Source organism: Homo sapiens, chromosome 22, assembly GCF_000001405.40.
Source record: "Homo sapiens chromosome 22, GRCh38.p14 Primary Assembly".
Classification (NCBI taxonomy): domain Eukaryota; kingdom Metazoa; phylum Chordata; class Mammalia; order Primates; family Hominidae; genus Homo; species Homo sapiens.
The window spans coordinates 41,336,048-41,356,972 of NC_000022.11; the positions used below are offsets into that span (position 1 = coordinate 41,336,048).

A 20,925-nucleotide genomic window follows, 5' to 3' on the forward strand; every position below is an offset into this window, starting at 1 on the left:
CAGAAAGGGTGGGGCCACCCAGGGCCTCACCAGGGAAGCAGGACTTGAGCTGGACTGTGAAGGACTCAGAGAAAAAGGGGAGGGTGTTCAGGACAGGGAAGGATGCACCACAGCCTGGAGGTTGGAGTGTGGGAACTGTTGAACGAAACAGCAGCTCTCCCAGCCCAACTTCCAGAAACTGTGCATCTAATCAACACAGGCCGGGCACGGTGGCTCACGCCAGTAATCCCAGCACATTGGGAGGCCAAGGCGGGTGGATCATTTGAAGTCAGGAGTTTGAGATCAACCTGGCTAACATGGTGAAACCCCATCTCTACTAAAAAATTCAAAAATTAGCTGGGCGCGGTGGCTCACACCTATAATCCCAGCACTCTGGGAGGCCGAGGCGGGTGGATCACGAGGTCAGGATATCGAGACCATCCTGGCTAACACGGTGAAACCCCATCTCTACTAAAAATACAAAAAATTAGCCAGGCGTGGTGGCGGGTGCCTGTAGTCCCAGCTAGTCTGGAGGCTGAGGCAGGAGAATGGCATGAACCCAGGAGGCGGAGCTTACAGTGAGCTGAGATCGTGCCACTGCACTCCAGCCTGGGCTACAGAGTGAGACTCCATCTCAAAGAAAAAAAATATATATATATATTCAAAAATTAGCTGGGCATGGTGGCATGCTTCTGTAATCCCAGCTACTCAGGAGGCCGAGATTAGAGAATCACTTGAATGTGGGAGTCGGAGGTTGTAGTGAGCTGAGATCACACCATTGCACTGCAGCCTGGGTGACCAAACGAGACTCCATCTCAAAAAAAAAAAGTTGGGTGTGGTGGCTCAGGCCTGTAATCCCAGCACTTTGGGCGGTTGAGGGAGGTGGATCACCTAAGGTCCGGAATTCAAGACCAGCCTGACCAACATGGAGAAACCCCATCTCTACTAAAAATACAAAAATTAGCCAGGCATGGTGGCGCATGCCTGTAATCCCAGCTACTTGGGAGGCTGAGGCAGGAGAATCGCTTGAACCTGGGAGGCAGAGGTTTCGGTAAGCCAAGATCGCACCATTGCACTCCAGCCTGGGCAACAAGAGCAAATCTCCATCTCAAAAAAGAATAAATAAAAATACAAAATAAAAATACAAAAAAGTTAGTCAGGCGTGGTGACGGGTGCCTGTAATTCCAGCTACTCGGGAGGCTGAGGCAGGAGAATTGCTTGAACCCGGGAGGTAGAGGTTGCAGTGAGCCAAGATCATGCCACTGCACTCCAGCTTAGGGAACAGAGTGAGACTCTGTCTCAAAAAAAAAAAACAAACCCAAAACACAAAGCACTTCCTGTGTGCCAGGCCCCGTTCTAAGCACTTCACACATAGCAAGTCATTTCATCCTGATAGCCTTCCCCAGCGGTGAGTGAAGCAGGCCCAGAGTGGATGGGGAACTTTGCCCAGGTTGTACAGCCTGCTCAGGCCCAGCTTTCCTCCAGCAGGAAGGCAGTGGGATCCCACCTGGGTTTATGCCCTTCTCTGCTTCCTGGGGGGCCTGGGGCTACCGTGGGAGAGGAGAGCCTGGGGACTCAGGGAGGGGGCACTTTTGTCTTTGAACTGCAGGCCATCTGTGGTGCTGTGGGGGGAGGCTTGCTAAGACCCTTGCCACCTTCACCGGGGTGAGGACCCTGCCCTGTGGTGGGTGGAACCAAGACTCAGAGGTTCTCTCCCTGCCCTCAACCACCCCTCCCTAGAGGGACAGCTGTGGGGATCCACTGAGCCCATGCCCCCACCTGCTGGCCCATCCAGCCCCTTGCTGGGCACCACAGGGGTGAGGACCCAGCACGTGTGAGGGCTTTTTTTTTTTTTTTTTGAGGTAGAGTCTCGCTCTGTTGCCCAGGCTGGAGTATAGTGGCATGATCTCGGCTCACTGCAACATCCACCTCCTGGGTTCAAACCATTCTCCTGCCTCAGCCTCCCAAGTAGCTGGGGTTACAGGCTCCTGCCACCATGCCCGACTAATTTTTGTATTTTTAGTAGAGATGAGGTTTCACCATGTTGGCCATGCTGGTCTTGAATTTCTGACCTCAGGTGATCCACCCACCTCAGCCTCCCCAAGTGCTGGGATTATAGGCATAAGCCACCACGCCTGGCCGCATGTGAGGGCTTTAATCTCCCCTGGCACTCTAAGTGCTCCTCGGTGCTGGGTCAACAGCATAGTCACGTGGGGAGGGGCTGGTGCTGGGTGCTGGGATCGGGGCCTTCCCAGCCACAGCGCCACTGTGGCCCTCTCCCCACAGGGAACTTCTAATGGATTGGGGTCCATAGATGACATCGAAACAGGTAATGTCCCCGATACGAGGGAACAAGTGGAAATTGGGGCCCCGAGAGGTCAGGGGAGTCGAGCCCCCTCCCCATCCCAGCCCTGTAGATGGGAGGGCCTCCGAGGGGTTCCCCACCCTGGTACTCCCTGAGGCATGGGAGAAAACAGTGGGTTGAGAGCTACAGACCCACTCAAGGAGGGGAGGGCATCTCTAGTCTGGCAGAGAGGGGTGCTGCCTCTTAGCTAGGTGCAACAGTCCCATGGCCTTCACTCCTGGCTGCCTGCACACCCCCACCTCTTCCAAAGCCCTTTCCCCTCCTCTTCCTCATTGGCTTCCAGAAAAGGTTGCCTTTTAAGAGTGTCCCCTGGAGAGGGCATTGCTTACCCCAGAAGAAGGAGGCAGCAGTGGTGGACATTTAGGCATTGAGCCTGGGCCAAGGATTGACATCATAGGACTGAGGGCCCCTCCCTGCTCTGGGGCTGTGGCCTTCCTTGACCACCCCCTGAGCATCTGCCAGTGGGATCAGCCGATGGGGAAGGCAGGGCTCCTGGCAAGAGCTGAAAGAAGAAGGGAAAGTGTTGGATGAGCATCACGGGGCCCGGGACGCCTCCTCCACCCTCACCAAGCAGTGCTCCCCTTCGGCTCTTGCCCACCCCATCCGCAGACTGCTACGTGGACCCTCGAGGCTCCCCAGCCCTTCTCCCCTCCACGCCCACGATGCCCCTGTTCCCTCACGTTCTGGACCTGCTGGCCCCCCTGGACAGCAGCAGGACCCTCCCCAGCACCGACAGCCTGGATGACTTCTCAGACGGGGATGTCTTTGGCCCAGAGCTGGACACCCTCCTGGACTCGCTGGTGAGCCACACCACCCTCCTTGTGCTCCCCTGATCCCCTCTCCCCGCTGTGTCCCCATTGTCCCAGGGGTGGAGGGAAGGCCCCAATGCTCATGTCATGTGTCTCAGGAGGAGGCCTCAGTAGGGACTTGTTTGGTACAGAAATGAAGCTGCACACTGGGCACGGTGGCTCACGCCTGTAATCCCAATACTTTGGGAGGCCAAGGCAGCGGATTACTTGAGGTCAGGAATTCGAGACCAGCCTGGCCAACGTGGTGAAACCCCCTCTCTACTAAAAATACAAAAATTAGCCGGGCATGGTGGCACATGCCTGTGGTCTCAGCTCCTCAGGAGGCTGAGGCCGGAGAATCGCTTGAACCCGGGAGGCGGAGGTTGCAGTGAGCCGAGATCACACCACTGCACTCCAGCCTGGGCAGTGGAGCAAGACTCCGTCTCAAAAAAAAAAAAAGAAATGAAGCTGCACAATGTCTGGCCAGAAGGGACCATAGTGAGCCCTGCTCCCACATGGGACAGGATGAAGCCAGGCGACAGGGTGCAGGTCTCCTTGCTTCCCCAAGTCCTGATGCTGCCCAGGCCTGGGCAGTCCTGTTTTCCTCTGACCCCTCCCTCTGTCCCTGCCTCATAGTCTCTGGTCCAGGGTGGCCTGTCTGGCAGCGGCGTGCCTAGTGAGTTGCCCCAGCTGATACCCGTGTTCCCCGGCGGGACCCCACTGCTACCACCTGTGGTGGGTGGCTCCATCCCTGTCTCCAGCCCACTGCCCCCCGCCTCCTTCGGCTTGGTCATGGACCCCTCCAAGAAGCTGGCCGCCTCTGTGCTGGATGCCCTCGATCCCCCGGGCCCCACGCTGGACCCCCTGGACCTGCTGCCGTACTCGGAGACCCGGCTGGATGCACTCGACAGCTTTGGGTCGACACGAGGCTCCCTGGACAAACCTGACTCCTTCATGGGTAAGGCCATGGGTGGGCCCGTTCAACCTCCCTGGACAGGTTGCACAGTGCTGTGGCCTCTTTGGTGCCTGGAGAGTGGAGTTGAGTTACAGATCTGTTTGTCCCCATCACTCCTTAGCAATCCCAGGCCATGTCTGTGTGTTGCCGTCTCTGCAGTGCTCAGCACAGTGTGGGGCTGGGCCTGAGGGGTGGGTGTCTTGTTCAAGATCAAGCAGAGGAGAGCTGCGACAGTCCAGGCCTCTAGACTCCCAGTCTGGTGCTCCCTGCCCAGCCTCCCGGGACCCTGGGTCACCAGGCTGGTGAGATCCCATGGGATGATCCTGAGGCTGGGGGCGGAGCACAAGGTCATGGCCTCCCACTGCACCACTCTGGGCTGGGTGCCAGGGACCCAGGGAGGAAGCCGTCTTGTCTGGGCGCTGGTGGGGCTAGCTTTCGGCAGTCGGACACAGCCCAGGGCACTCGACTGAGAGGGCTTAACGGGACTGTCGGGGCACGGAGGGGACTTCACTCAGCCTCAGGGCCAAAGGAGGCTTCCTGGAGGAAGTGATGACTAGGCAGGGTCTTGAAGGAAAAGTTCACCTGCCAGGCAGAGGAAGCAGGGGCACTAGCCTGGCATGGCATGGCGCGGGGCTGGCTGATGAGCGGAGCAGCTGGGGTGGGGGCCTTGGTCTCCGAGGACCTGGGAGCAAGCTAAGGAACTTGGGCTTTCTCCTACGGGCAGCGGGAAGCCCTGGCAAGTTTAAGCAAAGAGTGGACACACTCAGGCTGGGAGGCGTCTTTGCCCCTGGGGAGTGGAGAGGAGAGGATAGAGTCAGGGGTTCAGCAGGAGTAGGAGAGGATGTGTGGCCTGGGGGCTTCTCCGAGTCAGCAATACATAAGGGGAAGCCCTAGGAAGGCCCCTCACGCCTCAGAGCCAGAGCCACTGACCCCTGTGTCTTCTCCCTGCCCAGAGGAGACCAACTCACAGGACCACCGTCCCCCTAGCGGTGCTCAGAAACCAGCCCCCTCGGTGAGTGACTTGAGTGGGGATCCAGGCCTCTCATTCCCTGCTGGGGGTTGTGGGTTCTAGAGTTGGGGAATGAGCCCTCTGCATGGGGTAAGGCACTGCATTCCCCACGGCGGGGCACTCCCAGAGTGGATGGATCAAAGATGATCACCTCGTGCCCTTCCTCACCAAGCCATATGCTGGGCGGGCACACAGAGGGCACCACTGCCCTTGTCTGATGGAAGAATTCAAGTCTCAGAGAGTGAAGTGACTTCCCCAGTGTTAGTAGCATCCCTGGTCTCCAGACTCAGTCCGGTCCTGAGTTTAAAAGAGCATCTGGGCCGGGCGCGGTGGCTCATGCCTGTAATCCCAGCACTTTGGGAGGCCGAGTTGGGCGGATCACAAGGTCAGGAGATTGAGACCATCCTGGCTAACACAGTGAAACCCCGTCTCTACTAAAAATACAAAAAATTAGCCGGGTGTGGTGGTGGGCACCTGTAGTCCCAGCTACTCGCGAGGCTGAGGCAGAAGAATGGCATGAACCCGGGAGGCAGAGTTTGCAGTGAGCCGAGATCGCGCCACTGCATTCCAGCCTGGGCGACAGAGCGAGACTCCGTCTCAAAAAAAAGAAAATAATAATAAAAGAACATCTGATGAGGGGCCAGGCGTGGTGGCTCATGCCTATAATCCCAGCACTTTGGGAGGCCGAGGTGTGCAGATCACAAGGTCAGGAGTTCGAGACCAGCCTGGCCAACATGGTGATACCCCGTCTCTATTAAAAATACAAAAATTAGCTGGGTGTAGTGGCGGACACCTGTAATCCCAGGTACTCAGGAGGCTGAGGCAGGAGAATCGCTTGAACCTGGGAGGTGGAGGTTGCGGTGAGCTGAGAGCACGCCATTGCACTCTAGCCTGGGCAACAAGAGCAAAACTCCATCTCAAAAAAAAAAAAAAAAGAGCTTGCTACACTCTGACCTACACTAGCTGTGTGGTCCTGGGGAATTTCCCTAACCTCTCTGAGTCTTGCCTTCCTCCCCATCTGCTGATGACTTGGGGGATTGGGGGAGGGCATGAGCACAGGCTGCAATCACGGCCCCTCCCATTTCTATGCTTTCACATTCAACTTGCCTTCAAAGAAAGGCTCAGAGCCAAGACCCAGGTCACCCACTAGCCTGGGACCATATGCTGGGACCAAGGTGGTCCTGATATTTTAGACTCTTGGACCACATTACAAAGAACTCCCCTGGCTGGGAGGGTGGAGGAAGAGGAAGGGTCCTGGGCTGTGGTTTTGCTCTTGGGTAGGATAGGGGGGTCATAGAGCACTCCCCACTTCTGGTGCCCTGGCTGGCCCCAGTGGCCTCAGCCATCATCCAGTGCCCACAATGGCCTCCTTCCTCCTGTCACAGCCAGAGCCCTGCATGCCCAACACTGCCTTGCTCATCAAGAACCCCTTGGCTGCCACCCACGAGTTCAAGCAGGCCTGCCAGCTCTGCTACCCCAAGACAGGTAAACTTTCACCTGTAGACTCCACCCCTCTGCCCAGAGAACTGGGAATCTCAGGAACATGGGATCCCAGATCAAAAGAATCCCAGTGTCTCAGTTGGAGATAAGTGCCAGAAATCAGAAGCCCCTCTGGGGCAGAAAAGGAAAGGGGCAGGAGTTTGGGGTCTGTCCCTGCCAGGCACCACCTTCACAGTCCTTTCTAGAGAAACACTAACATGGTCAGACTCACTAGAGAGTGAGGACGGTGGTAGAAAAAGGATGGGTAGGCCGGATGCGGTGGCTCACACCTGTAATCCCAGCATTTTGTGAGGCTGAGGCAGGCAGATCACTTGAGGTCAGGAGTTTGAGATCAGCCTGGCCAACATGGTGAAATCCTGTCTCTACTAAAAATACAAAAAGTAGCCAGGCTTGGTGGTGCTCGCTTATAGTCCCAGCTACTCGGGAGGCTGAGGCAGGAGAATTGCTTGAACCCGGAAGGCAGAGGTTGCAGTGAGTTGGGATCACACTACTGCACTCCAGCCTGGGTGACTGAGTGAGACTCTGTCTCAAAAAAAAGGAGGGGGGATGGGTGCCAAGAATGGGCTCCTTCGAGGGGCTTCCCCCAGCACAGTCCCCCGGTCTCCAGGGAGCAAGTAGCCAGGAAGGGTGTGGTGGGAGCTGGCAGGAGGCCCTCAGAGGGGAGGTAGGTATATAAGGAGGGGGCCGATTCCTACCCACCGCATGGGCCTGCCAGCCATCACTCTTCAATTCTGCTTCCGGAATTATCATGTGTGTCCACCCTGCCCATAGGCCCCCGGGCTGGCGACTACACCTACCGTGAGGGCCTTGAGCACAAGTGCAAGCGGGACATCCTGCTCGGCCGGCTCCGGAGCTCGGAGGACCAGACCTGGAAGCGGATCCGGCCCCGGCCCACTAAGACCAGCTTCGTGGGCTCCTACTACCTGTGCAAAGGTGGGTGGGCTGCAGCGGGGCAGGCAGCACAGCTGGGGCCCAGCCCCTCCACCCCCAGCCGCTGCTCTACTCCCCATCACAGGTAGACAGAACAGGGGTGGGCCTCACAGCTGCACGGGAGGAGAAAGCCACGGCCTAGGCTCCTGGGGCCCGTGCAGGATGAATTCCACATCAGAATGAGCGTCTTCTTCCCTTAGCAGCTTCCAGAGGCAGGTGGGACACATTTGGGACATTCAGCTGGAGACCGAGCCCGTCACTGGCCTGTGCTCTGGAGTGTCAGGAGCCTACATGACTCATAGGGGGCTGGCTTCTCTTACCACTGTAGGGCCCTGAGGGGCCGCGGGGCAGTGTGCCCAGCAGCCACATGAAGCATTTAGGACTGGCGCATGGTGAGGGCTCCATCCACTTGAGCTCTCTGTCACTCTTCTGTTGTCACTGTCCTCATTTCTGGCTCACATCAGCCTGGTTGGTATTTAATGGACATCCATCATGTCCCTGACTAGCTTCTTTCTGGTCCCAGCCAAGCGCCTTGGTCCCGCTGTACGGCGATATGTGAATAGTCACGAATTGCTAAGGCCTTCCCAGTGTAGCCCTTTCATTTCACCAGCATGCAGCCTCACAGCTCTGGAGGAGGAAACGGAGGCTTTGAGAGTGCACCCACGGCTCTGCCTCTCCCCCAACCTGGCCCCTAGCAGTGGCCCGCCCAGGCCTCCTGAACTTGCTCCTTGTCCTCCCAGCAGCCAGGCTGGTCTAAGGACATGTCACTCTTGGGTCAAAGGCCTCCATCAGCCACTGCCCGTGGCCAGTGGGATGAAGTCCACATTCTGCAACAAGACCTACACGTGCCCGTATCCACCCCCTCACCCCTCTGCCCTAACCATTCCCCAAATGCACTGACCCTCCCTGATTCCGTCACACACGCTGTGCCCTTTGAGCCTAGTCACCCTCTGCTCCTCCTTCAAGCACCGCCTGAATCTTGGGAAGCCCTTCTCTGCGGTGCTTCCCCTTGCAATCACCCCCACTCCCACCCAGGGATCTGCCCCACTCCTCCAGGTCTGTGGCCTGTTTGTCCTTGTGCGCCAAGAGCCTGGCAGAGAGATGGGACAAGGCAGACTTAGAGTGGGAGGAGGAGAAAGAAAAACAGGTCCCACCCCCAGGAAACAGCAGAGCTCCAGGTTCTGAGCCACCTTTCCTCTCTCCAGATGGCCCAGCCCCCAGAAATTTTGTTTTGGTTTGTTTTTGTTTTATGAGACAGGGTCTTGCTCTGTTGCCCAGGCCAGAGTGAGTGGTGCTGTTATAGCTCACTGCAGCTTCAACCTCCTGGGCTTAAGCCATCTTCTTGCCTCAGCCTCTTGAGTAGCTGAGACTACAGGCACATGCCACCACACCCAGCTTATTCTTTAATTTTTAACTTTTTTGTAGAGATAGGGTTCTTAATTTGTTGCCCAGCCTGGTCTTGAAGTCCTTGCCTCAAGCAATTCTCCTGCCTCAGCCTCCCAAAGTCCTAGGATTACAGGCATGAGCCACCATGTCCAGCGCCCCCGCCAGCTTTATGTATTATCTCACTTGATTCCAACAACCCAGTCTCCTCCATTCATAGCAAAGACAGCTGAGGCTCGGGGAGTAATGAGGAATCCTAGCCCAATTCTGTCTGACGCCAAATTACATGCTCTTAACCATGCAGTGTTCTTTTCCTGGTGAATAATTATTTTTAAATCCCTTATATTTGCCAGTCACAGTGGCTCATGCCTGTAATCCCAGCACTTTGGGAGGCCGAGGGGGGTGGATCACCTGAGGTCGGGAGTTTGAGACCAGCCTGACCAACATGGAGAAACCCTGTCTTTACTAAAAATACAAAATTAGCCGGGCGTGGTGGCGGGTGCCTGTAATCCCAGCTACTCGGGAGGCTGAGGCAGGAGAATCACTTGAATCCAGGAGGCGGAGGTTGCAGTGAGCTGAAATCGTGCCATTGCACTCCAGCATGGGCAACAAGAGCAAAACTCCATCTCAAAAAAAAAATCCCTTCTATTTATTTAGAGACTTGTATACTTCTACAAAAGCAATCCTGTGGGGTGAGTGGGGTAGGAGTGATTACTGTACTCTGCAGGTGTGGAGTGCAGAAGCGGGCCTTGTATTTGGAAAGGAATTTTCAGCCCTGCCAAGTCCTGGCAGCAGGGGGTGCAGCAGACCCTGCCTCACCTGCGTTGGGGTGCAGAAGGGGGCCTGGTATTTGGAAAGGACTTCCCAGCTCTGCCAAGTCCTGGCAGGGGGTGCAGCAGCCCCTGGCTCACCTAGCTGTGTTGGGGTGGAGCGAAGCCCTGCCTGGCTCATGGGGCCAGAGCCCCACAGGCCGCAGCGGGGTGGCGAGGGTGCTGCGGGCTGCTATCCCCGCCTGGCGGAACGTGTGTCCTGTTGCCTCTTTGCAGACATGATTAACAAGCAGGACTGTAAGTACGGGGATAACTGCACCTTCGCCTACCATCAGGAGGAGATCGACGTGTGGACCGAGGAGCGGAAGGGCACCCTCAACCGCGACCTGCTCTTCGACCCGCTGGGGGGTGTTAAGCGCGGCAGCCTCACCATCGCCAAGCTCCTGAAGGAGCACCAGGGCATCTTCACCTTCCTCTGCGAGGTACTGCCCACCCACCCACTGCCACCCCATAGGCCATGGCACAGACAGGGCTGGGGATGCTCCCTGGCACGGACCACCATAGGAAGTCAGCCCTGGAACCCGTGGGCTGTGGAGGCCTGGTCTTAGAACCAGTAGGTCCTGGAGGGTCAGTAAGTCTGGGCCCTAGGATCCTATCTTGCTAGAGGCCAGATCTGATCCAGCCCCCTCATTTTGCAGAGGCAGAAACTGAGGCTGGAAAGAAAAATCATAACCCTCACACCTGCTCTTTTCTGACAGCCAGTCATAGGCAGGGCTTGGCACGTGGTTGTTTTCGTTTCTCATTCCTAGCCTGATGCAGTGGCTCACGCCTGTAATCCCAGCACTTTGGGAGGCTGAGGCGGGCAAATCAATTGAGGTCAGGAGTTTGAGACCAGCCTGGCCAACACGGTGAAACCCTGTCTCTACTAAAAATACAAAAATTAGCTGGGCGTTGTGGTGCACGCCTGTAGTCCCAGCTAGTTGGGAGGCTGAGGCAGGAGAATCACTTGAACTGGGGAGGCAAAGGTTGCAGTGAGCCGAGATCGCGCAACTGCACTAGAGACTCCATCTCAAAAAAAAATTAAAAATTAGCTGGGCTTGGTGGCATGCGCCTCCCGTCCCAGTTACTCAGGAGGCTAAGGTGGGAGGATTGATTGCTTGCGTCCAGGAGGTAGAGGCTGCAGTGAGCCAAGATCGAACCACTGCACTCCAGCCTGGGTGACAGAGTGAGACCCTATTCCAAAAAAAAAAAAAAAAAAATGTCATTTCCATCGTCACGGCAGTGCTGGCAGGCAGATATCCCCATTTTACAGATGTTGAGGCTGAGATTCAGGGTAGCGAGGAACTGCCCTCAGCCACACAGACAGTGCCGTGCAGAACTGAGCTTCAAACCCAGGCAGCCTGTCCCTGGAGTCATGCCCACCTCCCAGCACCAGCTGCTGCTGGTGGTCCCCACAGCCAAACCCCCAGGACACAGGCAGATTGAGGGCCTGTCCGGGGCTTCCCCCGCATCCCTTGTTGTGGGTATGATGTATTTGGCACTGCTTAGCCGTCCCAAGCGCCGTGTCCACGGCCCCACGTCTCAGGCCTCCTCCACATGCCTTTCCTCGGCCCTCCTGGCTTCAGTGGCCATTGCGCTTCCCTGCCTGGGTTTGCCCTCCCCACAGGGCGCTGTCCTGTGTTTCTGGGCTTGGAACCTCTCAGCTGGACTCTGATCCCAGCAGCCCCACTGAGCTGTTAATTCCCTCCCCAAAGCTGTCCCTGAAGACCCCGCTTGGCCTCCGGAGTGAACTTGGCCCCTGTCTCCCCACCCAGTCATAGCATGTTGAGGGCAGGGGCAGTGGCACGTCTGTGTCCGTAGAGCAAGGGCTCCAGGTCCGGGTTGCTGGCAGGGTTTGGTGCCGCTCAGTCCAACCCTCATCCCTGGCACCACCAGCCCTTCCCCTAGCTCTTCCAGGTCGGGACTTGTGCCAACCCCCCACAGGGAGCATTGGCCTGGGAATCATAGTTCATAGCCAGGTGACAGCCTGTAGTTCATAAAGAACTTGCCATTCCTTTTTATCTTTTTTTTGACATGAAGTAACCCCCTGCCTCAGGCATTGGGAGTGGTGGGATCAGAGGGAGGGAGGAGGGTGAGGAAGGGAGCCAAAGCCCAGGTCACCTGTGAGCTGGAAGCAGAGAGGCAAGACCACAGACCCTGGGATTCCCTTCCTCACTCCTCTGACCCAGGGCAGGGCTTGCAGGGACCCAGCTGTCCTTCCCCAGCTAGCTGTGTGGGGTCCCAGCTCACCCCCTTCCCAGGTGGCCATGCCAGGTCCCAGCCCTTCCCCTCCCTGGGCAGATCTGCTTTGACAGTAAACCCCGGATCATCAGCAAAGGCACCAAGGACTCTCCGTCTGTCTGCTCCAACCTGGCTGCCAAGCACAGCTTCTACAACAACAAGTGAGTGGGACCCTCAGCCCAGGCTGAGGCCTAGGGGCCAGTGGAGAGTCCCCTCAGGCAGCTCAGATGGCTGAGGAAAGGCTGAACTGAAAGGGTGGATGTAGGGTGCAAGGAAAGGGGCAGAATTTGGGAATCAAATCCAGCCTCCACCTGGAAAGGATGAGAATCACATTTGTCGAACATCTACTATATTCCAAGCGTCATCTTGGGTATGTTAATTATCTTAGCAATCCTGTGAGGGAGGAGTTACTGGCCCTGTTGTACAGAACAAAAAGCTGAGGCTTGGAAGTAGCTTACTTAGCTTACTCAGCTTACTCAGCAGACAGCAAGCGGGGGGCCTCGTCTCTGACTGTAGCCCAGCACCCTCCAATGTCATGACATCAGTGTCAGGCAGTGAGGGGAGGCCTGGGTCAGGTCTGGCACCACCCCTTTCTCCCTCTTGTTCCCCTTGGTTCTGCCATGGTGTGCATATGGAGCCCAGGGCCTGCAGTCAGACAGACCTGGGTCCAATTCCTGGGCCAGTCCTGTCTTACGTCCAAGCCTGGGTTTCCTCGTCTGTAAAGCTGATGATGCTCTAGGCTCCTGGGGCTGCAGTGAGGGTAATTAAGACTCCTGGCCCAGAGGACATGCTTGGTTAGTGTTCCTCAGGATGCAGGACCGGCTCTGCAGAATCAAGCTGGAAACCTGAGGGCGGTGCCCTTTGCTTGTTGGCAGCTCCATCTTTGAACCCTGGGGGAGGGACAGGAGTAAAGCAGCGCTGGGACCCAGGCCCAGGGGTGCCTGAGCATAGGAGCCCTGTTTCTGCCCTCCTGTGTCATCCATGGCCTGGATTTGGTACATAGATCAGGGGGTGCCCAGGGAGAGCCTGGCACTGGGAAGGTGGCCCTACCAGGAGAGAAGGTCAGAGGGGCTGCGGACTGCATCGTGCCCCTCCTGCCTGCCCGCCCGCCAGGTGCCTGGTGCACATCGTCCGCTCCACCTCCCTCAAGTACTCCAAGATCCGCCAGTTCCAGGAGCACTTCCAGTTCGACGTGTGCCGCCATGAGGTGCGCTACGGCTGCCTGCGGGAGGACAGCTGCCACTTCGCCCACAGCTTCATCGAGCTCAAGGTCTGGCTGCTGCAGCAGTACTCAGGTGAGGGGCAGGCGGTGCAGGTGGAGGGCAGGTGACTCAGGTGAGGGGTAGGCGGCGCAGGTGAAGGGAGCGCAGGACTGACTGGGGTGACAGGCCAGGGCCCCATGGTCGCTGGAGGGGGCTTCGGGAGAGTTCAGGAGAGGTGGCTGCGGGGTGGGCTCTCTGTGTGTCCCAGGCACCACAGAGGAGAGAAGCTCTGCTCTCAGGGCGCTTCCAGGCTCGGAGATCTGGGTTTTTCCCTTCGTAGGCACCGTCCAGGGAGCACGGAGAGGGGAGAGGAGCACCTGGGCTCCTGCAGCAGGACCTCTGCTTGCTCCCTGGGTGGTCGGCAGCAAGTCCCCGCTCCTCACTGAGCCTCCAGTGCTCATCTGGGAAATGGGGAGCCCCATCTCTTCCTCACAGAGCTGCTGCGGGGATTGGAAGGTGTTCTCCACTCACCCACCAGGGATTTACTGAGCACCTTCTCTTGTCAGGGCATTCAGCCATGGTCTAGTCGAGGCCCTTACTTTCAGAGAACCTACATTTATAAGTGGGGGCCAGACAGATAATATATCAACAGGTGAATAAATCCTGTATTCCATCCATTCTAGGATGCACATTTACCCCTACTGCCTGTCATCATTTAATTAGCAGCATTTTGTGGGGCGGGGATTTAAAATATGGTACATATAACATTCAGTGTCTGCTTAGAGTTGGTGAAATGCAGTGGTAGCATTTCAGGCGTGCCTCAGTGTTATGAGGAAGATAAAGCCGAGCAATGGGACAGAGACAGACTCGGGGATGGGAGCATTTTAGGTAAGATGGCTGGGAAGGCCTCTCTGAGGAAGTGACTTTTGACCAGGGAAGGGCGGGGAGTGCATTCCAGAAGAGGGACCAGACTGAAGTCTCTGAGGCAGGAGCAAGCTCTGCACAGAAAGGATGGTCCCTGGGGGTAGAGCAGCTTAGTCAGTAGAAGGGGAATGAGGCCTGAGAGGTTGGAGGGGACTGAGCATGTAAGAGTCTCTAGGCCTTAAACAGGAACAACTGGGGTTGTTCTAAATATGATTTACAGTGTCTGGAGGAGGGTTTTAAGTGGGTGGAGTTATATGATCTGATCAGTACTTTGCAAAAGTCACTCTGGCTGCTGGGTGGAGATCGAGGAGCAAGGGCAGAAGCCGGGAGATCAGGGAGGGTGGCTCGGGCCAGGGTGGTGATGCTGGAGGTGGGAGAAGTGGTTAGATTCTAGGTGTATTTTGAGGGTGGAGCCAACAAGATGTGTTGATGGATCAGATATGAAGTATGAGACAAAGGAGAGCGTCAAGGTGGACTCTAAGATCAGAGCAACAGGAAGAATGGGGCTACCATGTTCTAAGAGGGGGCAGGCTGTAAGAGGAGCAGCTCAGGCTCAGTGTGGGACGTGGGAAGTCTGAGCTGCCTGGTGGACTTCACATGGAGATGTTGGAAGCAGCAGATGTGGGGATCTGGAGGTTCACAGGAAAGGTCTGGCCTGTAGATACATACTTGCAGATCATCAGCAAGAAACTGGATGTCAAGTGCAGTGTCTTGCCCCAAGTAAGCACCGATGATGATTAGCTGTCGTGGAGCAGGGGCCATAGGTCAAGGTGGAAGGCCACATCTGTTGTGGGAAAGACGTGAGAAAGATGGAGAGCGCTGAAAAGAGGGCAGGCTTCATGGAAGAGTTGTGAGCTGGATCTCCAAGGTCGGGCTCAGTGGCAACAGTCTGAGGCTGGCGGGGAGACAGACTGGAGAGTCCATGCCACCAGGCTGGGGTATTTGCCCTTTGGGGACTGGCAGTAAAGAGCCGTGGTACCACAGTGAACCGGTGAGCCAGGCTGGGCAGGCATGGAGCCCTAAGTGCCAGTGAGGCCAGGGGCTGCCAAGCAGGCACTAGGCTTGCAGCCCTGTTGAGGGAGATGGGGGTCAGGGAAGGGTGCTGAGTCACCGGCCCAAGAGACAGGGTCACTGGCATGGGAGCAGAGGACTCCCTACCACAGTACAGAGCCAATATCTTTCTACTGCATTTTCCCACTCTTGGCTGCATTTAATTCTTTCACTTCCAGTGAGGCTCGGAGCAGGTCTTTGTTCCCATTTTGCAGATGGACAAAGTGGTTCCCTTGTACCCCATGTCTTACTGTGGCTGGGCTGAGAATAGGGCTCCTCCAGCTGGGCCTCGGGGGTCCCTGGCACCTCGTGGACCCCCTGCCTCCCTCCTTGCTGAGCACCTTGAAAGATGCCTGTGTCTGCCCCCACCCTCCCCAGGCATGACCCACGAAGACATCGTTCAGGAGTCTAAGAAGTACTGGCAGCAGATGGAGGCGCATGCGGGGAAGGCCAGCAGCAGCATGGTAAGGCCTTCTGATACTATGCCATTATTCAGATTTTGTGAATTGTCCCCAAATTACAAACAGGAAGGCTCTAATTTTACAATAGAGAAATGTTTACAATGGAGGCACCTCGAATAAGTTATGAAAGTAACTTGGATAATGTACACATTCAGCTGTTGTGTCTCATTTTATTTTATTTTATTTTATTTTATTTTGAGACAGGGTCTTGCTCTGTCACCCAGCCTGGAGTGCAGTGGTATGATCATGGCCCACTGCAGCTTCCACCTCCTGGTCTCAGGTGATCCTCCTGCCTCAGCCTCCTGAGTAGCTGGGATTACAGGCATGCACCACCACACCTGGCTGATTTGTCTATTTTTTAAGACCGTGGGTCTGGGGATGTGGGGCTTGCCATCTTGCCCAGGCTTATCTGAAACTCCTGGGCTCAAGCAATCCTCCCACCTTGGCCTCCCAAAGTGCAGCGATTACAGGCATGAGCCTTGTCGTGTCTCTTTTTCATCTCCCTTGATGAAGAAACGGTTCTTTAGTCTTTGCCTTGTGTTGCATTGAGGTTTTTGAAGAGCCAGATGTTTTGTAAAAGGTCCATCCCTCTGGGCTCGTGTGAGTTTCCTCATTCCACAGAGGTGATGTCGTGTTCTCAGCTCACACATCAGGGGATGCGTCATCTCAGTGTGTCCCTTCACTGGTGACAATCTAATTAAACTTTCATAACTTGATTCAAGGTGCCTCCATTGTAAACATTTCTCTATTGTAAAATTAGAGCTTTCCTCTTTGTAATTAAGACTATACTTTCAGGGATCATTTCTATAGTTTGTAATTAATAAAGGTCTTCAGAGGCCCGGCGCAGTGGCTCACCCCTGTAATCCCACCAGCCTTTGGGAGACTGAGGCGGGCGGGTCACGAGGTCAGGAGTTCGAGACCAGCGTGTCCAACATAGTGAAACCCCATCTGTACTAAAAATACAAAAAATTAGCTGGGCGTGGTGGCGGGCGCCTGTAGTCCCAGCTACTCGGGAGGCTGAGGCAGGAGAATCGTGTGAACCCGGGAGGTGGAGGTTGCAGTGAGCTGAGATCACGCTGTTGCACTCCAGCTAGGGCGACAGTGTGAGACTCCGTCTCAAAAAATAAATAAATAAATAAAAAGTCTTCAGGAGGCCTGGCGTGGTGGCTGACGCCTGTAATCCCAGCACTTTGGGAGGCTGAGGTGAGCGGATCACCTGAGGTCAGGAGTTTGAGACCAGCCTGGCAAACATGACGAAACCCCGTCTCTACTAAAAATACAAAAAAATTAGCCGGGCATGGTGGCGGGCACCTGCAATTCCAGCTACTTGAGAAGCTGAGGCAGGAGAATTACTTGAACCCAGGAGGCAGAGGTTGCAGTGAGTTGAGATTGTGCCATTGACCTCCAGCCTGGGTGACAGAGTGAGACTCCATCTCAAAAAAAAAAAAGAAGAAAAAAAGGTCTTCAGGAGAAATACGTTGAGACCTTGTAAATATCCCAGTACTGCTCGGACTGACACCACTGATTGTGGTATCCCCTCCCATCCCTCCTGATCTTCGCCATGGTCCTGAAGAGAGCATGGGATTGTGGCATTTGCAGATGGGGAAGCTGAGGCTGAGAGATTGTTAGTGACTTGCCCAGGGGCACACTGAGTGGGGCAATTCCCAGGTTCTCTGACGTCCTGTCCGGGGCTCGCTCTTCTCCCTCCCCACCTGCGGCATTCCTGTCCATCACCCCCAGGCGGGGATCAGAACCCTGGCCCTCGTATCTCCTGGGGTGGGTGTGAGGCTCACAGGAGCCAACCTAAGCTGCCCTGTGCTCACATCGTCCCCAGGTGGTGGGATCACTGTAACTGTAGATGACAGTGGAGGACCCTCGGGCTCAGAGGGGTGGGCACAGCGCCCAGGAGACAGTAAGTGTGAGATGAGGCCTCTGTGCCATCCAGGCATGAGCACTGACCCTTTCATCCACATGAGGCCACCTGCTGATTAACTTGGGGGAAGGCTGGGCCCCTGGACCCTTCAAGAGGCTGACCAGGGTGTGGCAGGGAGCAGGGCAGGCTGCCGGGGGGTCCCTGGGCCAGGCTGGCTGGCAGGGCTGCCCACCACCTCGAGCATTCCCTTGCTCCCTGACTTCTTTGTTCCTGGTCCTCTTCTCTTTTTCTCCCCTCTTCCTGGTCCCTGCTGCCCTCCATCAGTCTCCTGTGCAGTCCTCTTTTCCCCTCCCCATCTGTTTCTTTTTCCTTCTGGCCAGGAGCCTGGCAGGGAAGGAGTGAGGGGCTTATGGGACCTTTGAAAGAGAGAACACTAGCTGGGTGTGGTAGCTCACCTGTAGCCCAGCTACTCAGGAGGCTGTGGCAGAAGGATCCCTTGAGGCCAGGAGTTTGAGATCAGCCTGGGCAACATAGTGAGACCCCTCTTGCCACCTGCTATGGCAAGGAGCTGGTGAGACTATGCAGTCATCAACGTGGGCATGGGGTCTGGCTCTAAGGGAGGAGCTCAGGACTGCAGTGGCTGTCATTAGTGCAGTGGCTAAGCCACCATACCCTCGGTGCCCCCTTTATCTCGCCCAAGAAATGGTAATAATGCCTTCCTCTCACGCTTCTTGTGAGAATGGAGGGGAACACCCAGAAGTCAGTAGCCACATGGGTCCACTTGTTGCCTGCTCCAGTGCAGGCCGTCCCACGCGTAAAGGCATGACCTCACCTTATCATCAGGGTCACACGTGTGTTATTCTGGGGCTGAGCAGCCCACGAGTTGTCCAGCACCAGGCCAGGGGTCAGTCAGCAATGAGGACAGCTCCTTCCTGCTCCAGGGCAGGCCCTGGGCAGGGCAATGCTGGGGACACGGTGGGGAGTAGGCCACAGCTTCTGTGGGGGAGTTCCTATGGCAGGAGGATCATGCCCAGCAGCCTGGAAGAGCAAGGGGTGACCCTGCACTCGAGGCTCCTGGGAAGACGGGGAGGCTTGAGGTTATATGAGGGAGAGGGGACAGCTGGTGCATTCACAGAACAGCAGGCTGGCCAATGTAGCCAGCTGAGGGGGTTCAAGGTGGCAGGAGACAAGGCAGAGTGAGCATTTTTCCTACCTCTGGCCCCCAACCCTGTCCCGGGGTACAGAAGAGCAGGCCAAAGGCTGGGGCGTAGGACAGAGAAGGAACGTGGTGGGTGGGGCCTTAGAGACCAGCAAGGCCTTGCCCTGGAGGGAGGGCCAGAGACCAGGGCCACTCAGACGCCTGTCCCACCGCCCAAGGCTGACTCCTGCCACCACCACCCTACCCCTGCCGGGGTGGCTTCCCATCTCCTGGACCCCCCGCTCTACAGGTTCGGCACTCATAGACGGGTGAGTCGGTCAACAGGAGCAGTTTAGAGACTGTGGGAGCTCACTGAATGGACAGCTGCAGCTTAGGAGAGCTCCGGGGCAGGCTTCCCACAGGAGATGCGCTTGAGCTGAGTTTTGAAGGATAGTTTCTAGAACAGGCTGGATGAAGAGTGGAGGAAGGGCAGCGGGAACAGCCTGTACAAACGCAGGGAGGTGTGGCGGAACGGAGCTTTGCCATGGGAAATGCAGCATCCACAAAGCAGGCCTCCCAGGGAGTTGGGCGAGGCAGGGACCAGCCACAGAGGGTGGAAAGAGGAGCCCCGTTCCAGGCCTGGCTCTCCTGGGAAGCCCTTGGGCCTGCAGTTGGGAGGTCACTGCCTGCCAGGAAGACCTGGGAGCAGACCAGCTTATTCCAAGGCTCTCCCAGAGGACACCTGTGTGGAGACTCCAGGGCCTCAGGCCTGGTGCCTGCAGCTTCACCAACCCCCCTCCCCATCCCCCCACAGGGTGCTCCGAGGACACATGGGCCCAGCACCTTTGACCTGCAGATGAAGTTTGTATGTGGCCAGTGCTGGAGAAACGGGCAGGTGGTGGAGCCTGACAAGGACCTCAAGTACTGTAGTGCCAAGGCCCGGCACTGGTGAGTGGGATGCCAGGTGGGGGCTCAGGTGGGATGGGGCCACCCTACCACCACAGGTGTGGAGGCCAACTGAGAGAGGCCAGGGCTCTCCACAGAGGTCACACAGCACACAGGCTGTGCCCTGACCTCTCCCCAACCCTGCTCTGTCCTGCAGCTGGACCAAGGAGCGGCGGGTCCTTCTGGTGATGTCCAAGGCCAAGAGGAAATGGGTGTCAGTGAGGCCACTGCCATCCATTCGTAACTTCCCACAGCAATACGATGTGAGCGCTGGGATGGGGGGCTGGGGGTCCCCCAGGAGGCAGCGATGCTTTCCAGCGGGACTCAGAGGATCTCCCCACGCCCACCCCACAGCTCTGCATCCATGCACAGAACGGCCGCAAGTGCCAATATGTGGGGAACTGCTCCTTCGCACACAGCCCGGAGGAGAGGGACATGTGGACCTTCATGAAGGAGAACAAGAGTGAGTGGGCAGACGGGGCGGGCGGGCCCTCCCCCGGTGTCTCTTCAGTGCTGAATGTCTCAATTCACCAGCGGGCCCAAGAGCGTCCACTGCACCCCTTTGCTACCTGGGCCCTTCTCCACCTGCCCCATGCCGGGCCCTCTCTGAGGCCAGGCCCTGAGGCTGAGCGGCCTATCAGCAGGACTTGGGACGCCCACGGCTCCCAAATCAAGTGGGGACCATGGGGCAGAATGGATGGAGAAGCCCCTCAGCAGGTGCCCTGTCCCTGTCCCCTGCCCAGTCCTGGACATGCAGCAGACCTATGACATGTGGCTGAAAAAACACAACCCAGGAAAGCCTGGAGAAGGGACCCCCATCAGTTCTCGGGAAGGGGAGAAGCAGATCCAGATGCCCACGGACTACGCGGACATCATGGTAACGCCTCCGCCCTGCATGCTCGGGGCTGCGGTCGGGGCTGTGGTCTGAGCCTCACCTGGGAGGGGCAGCCTGGAGGGCCCAGCCGGCCAGCGCTCAGCCTCTCCGAGGTGGGTGGTCCGGGCAGAGGTGTGGGGGAGCAGGCACCCATGATGGCTGTGCTCCCAGATGGGCTACCACTGCTGGCTCTGCGGCAAGAACAGCAACAGCAAGAAGCAGTGGCAGCAGCACATCCAGTCCGAGAAGCACAAGGAGAAGGTCTTCACGTCCGACAGTGACGCCAGCGGCTGGGCCTTCCGCTTCCCCATGGGCGAGTTCCGGCTCTGCGACAGGTGCTCCTGGGAGGGCAGGGCCTGGCGGGACATGGGGTGGCCCGAGGAGATGGAGTCCGTGGCCAGCTCTGGCTCCTCTTGGCCTGGAGGTGGTGTGCAGGGAGTGGTGAGGCTTGGCTGTGACTGCAGCCATGGGGGTGGTGGGGAAGGGTGGATGGGAGGGC

General features: G+C 57.0%; 1 protein-coding gene across 2 annotated transcripts in view; it reads left to right on the plus strand.

Annotated features, from left to right (window-relative positions):
* Positions 1–20,925, plus strand: part of ZC3H7B (zinc finger CCCH-type containing 7B) — a 58,623-nt gene that overhangs the window by 34,523 nt on the left and 3,175 nt on the right. Inside the window, exons 8-22 of one of the 2 annotated variants that reach the window (NM_017590.6) lie at positions 2,266–2,308; positions 2,954–3,144; positions 3,769–4,090; positions 5,041–5,099; positions 6,482–6,581; positions 7,368–7,529; positions 9,956–10,161; positions 12,020–12,120; positions 13,073–13,254; positions 15,514–15,599; positions 19,422–19,555; positions 19,710–19,815; positions 19,907–20,015; positions 20,296–20,429; positions 20,598–20,761. In NM_017590.6, the coding sequence (NP_060060.3) occupies positions 2,266–2,308; positions 2,954–3,144; positions 3,769–4,090; positions 5,041–5,099; positions 6,482–6,581; positions 7,368–7,529; positions 9,956–10,161; positions 12,020–12,120; positions 13,073–13,254; positions 15,514–15,599; positions 19,422–19,555; positions 19,710–19,815; positions 19,907–20,015; positions 20,296–20,429; positions 20,598–20,761 (2,099 nt within the window). Of the gene's footprint in view, positions 1–2,265; positions 2,309–2,953; positions 3,145–3,768; positions 4,091–5,040; positions 5,100–6,481; positions 6,582–7,367; positions 7,530–9,955; positions 10,162–12,019; positions 12,121–13,072; positions 13,255–15,513; positions 15,600–19,421; positions 19,556–19,709; positions 19,816–19,906; positions 20,016–20,295; positions 20,430–20,597; positions 20,762–20,925 lie in introns of those variants that run through there. The other variant, XR_007067960.1, reaches the window with a different exon arrangement.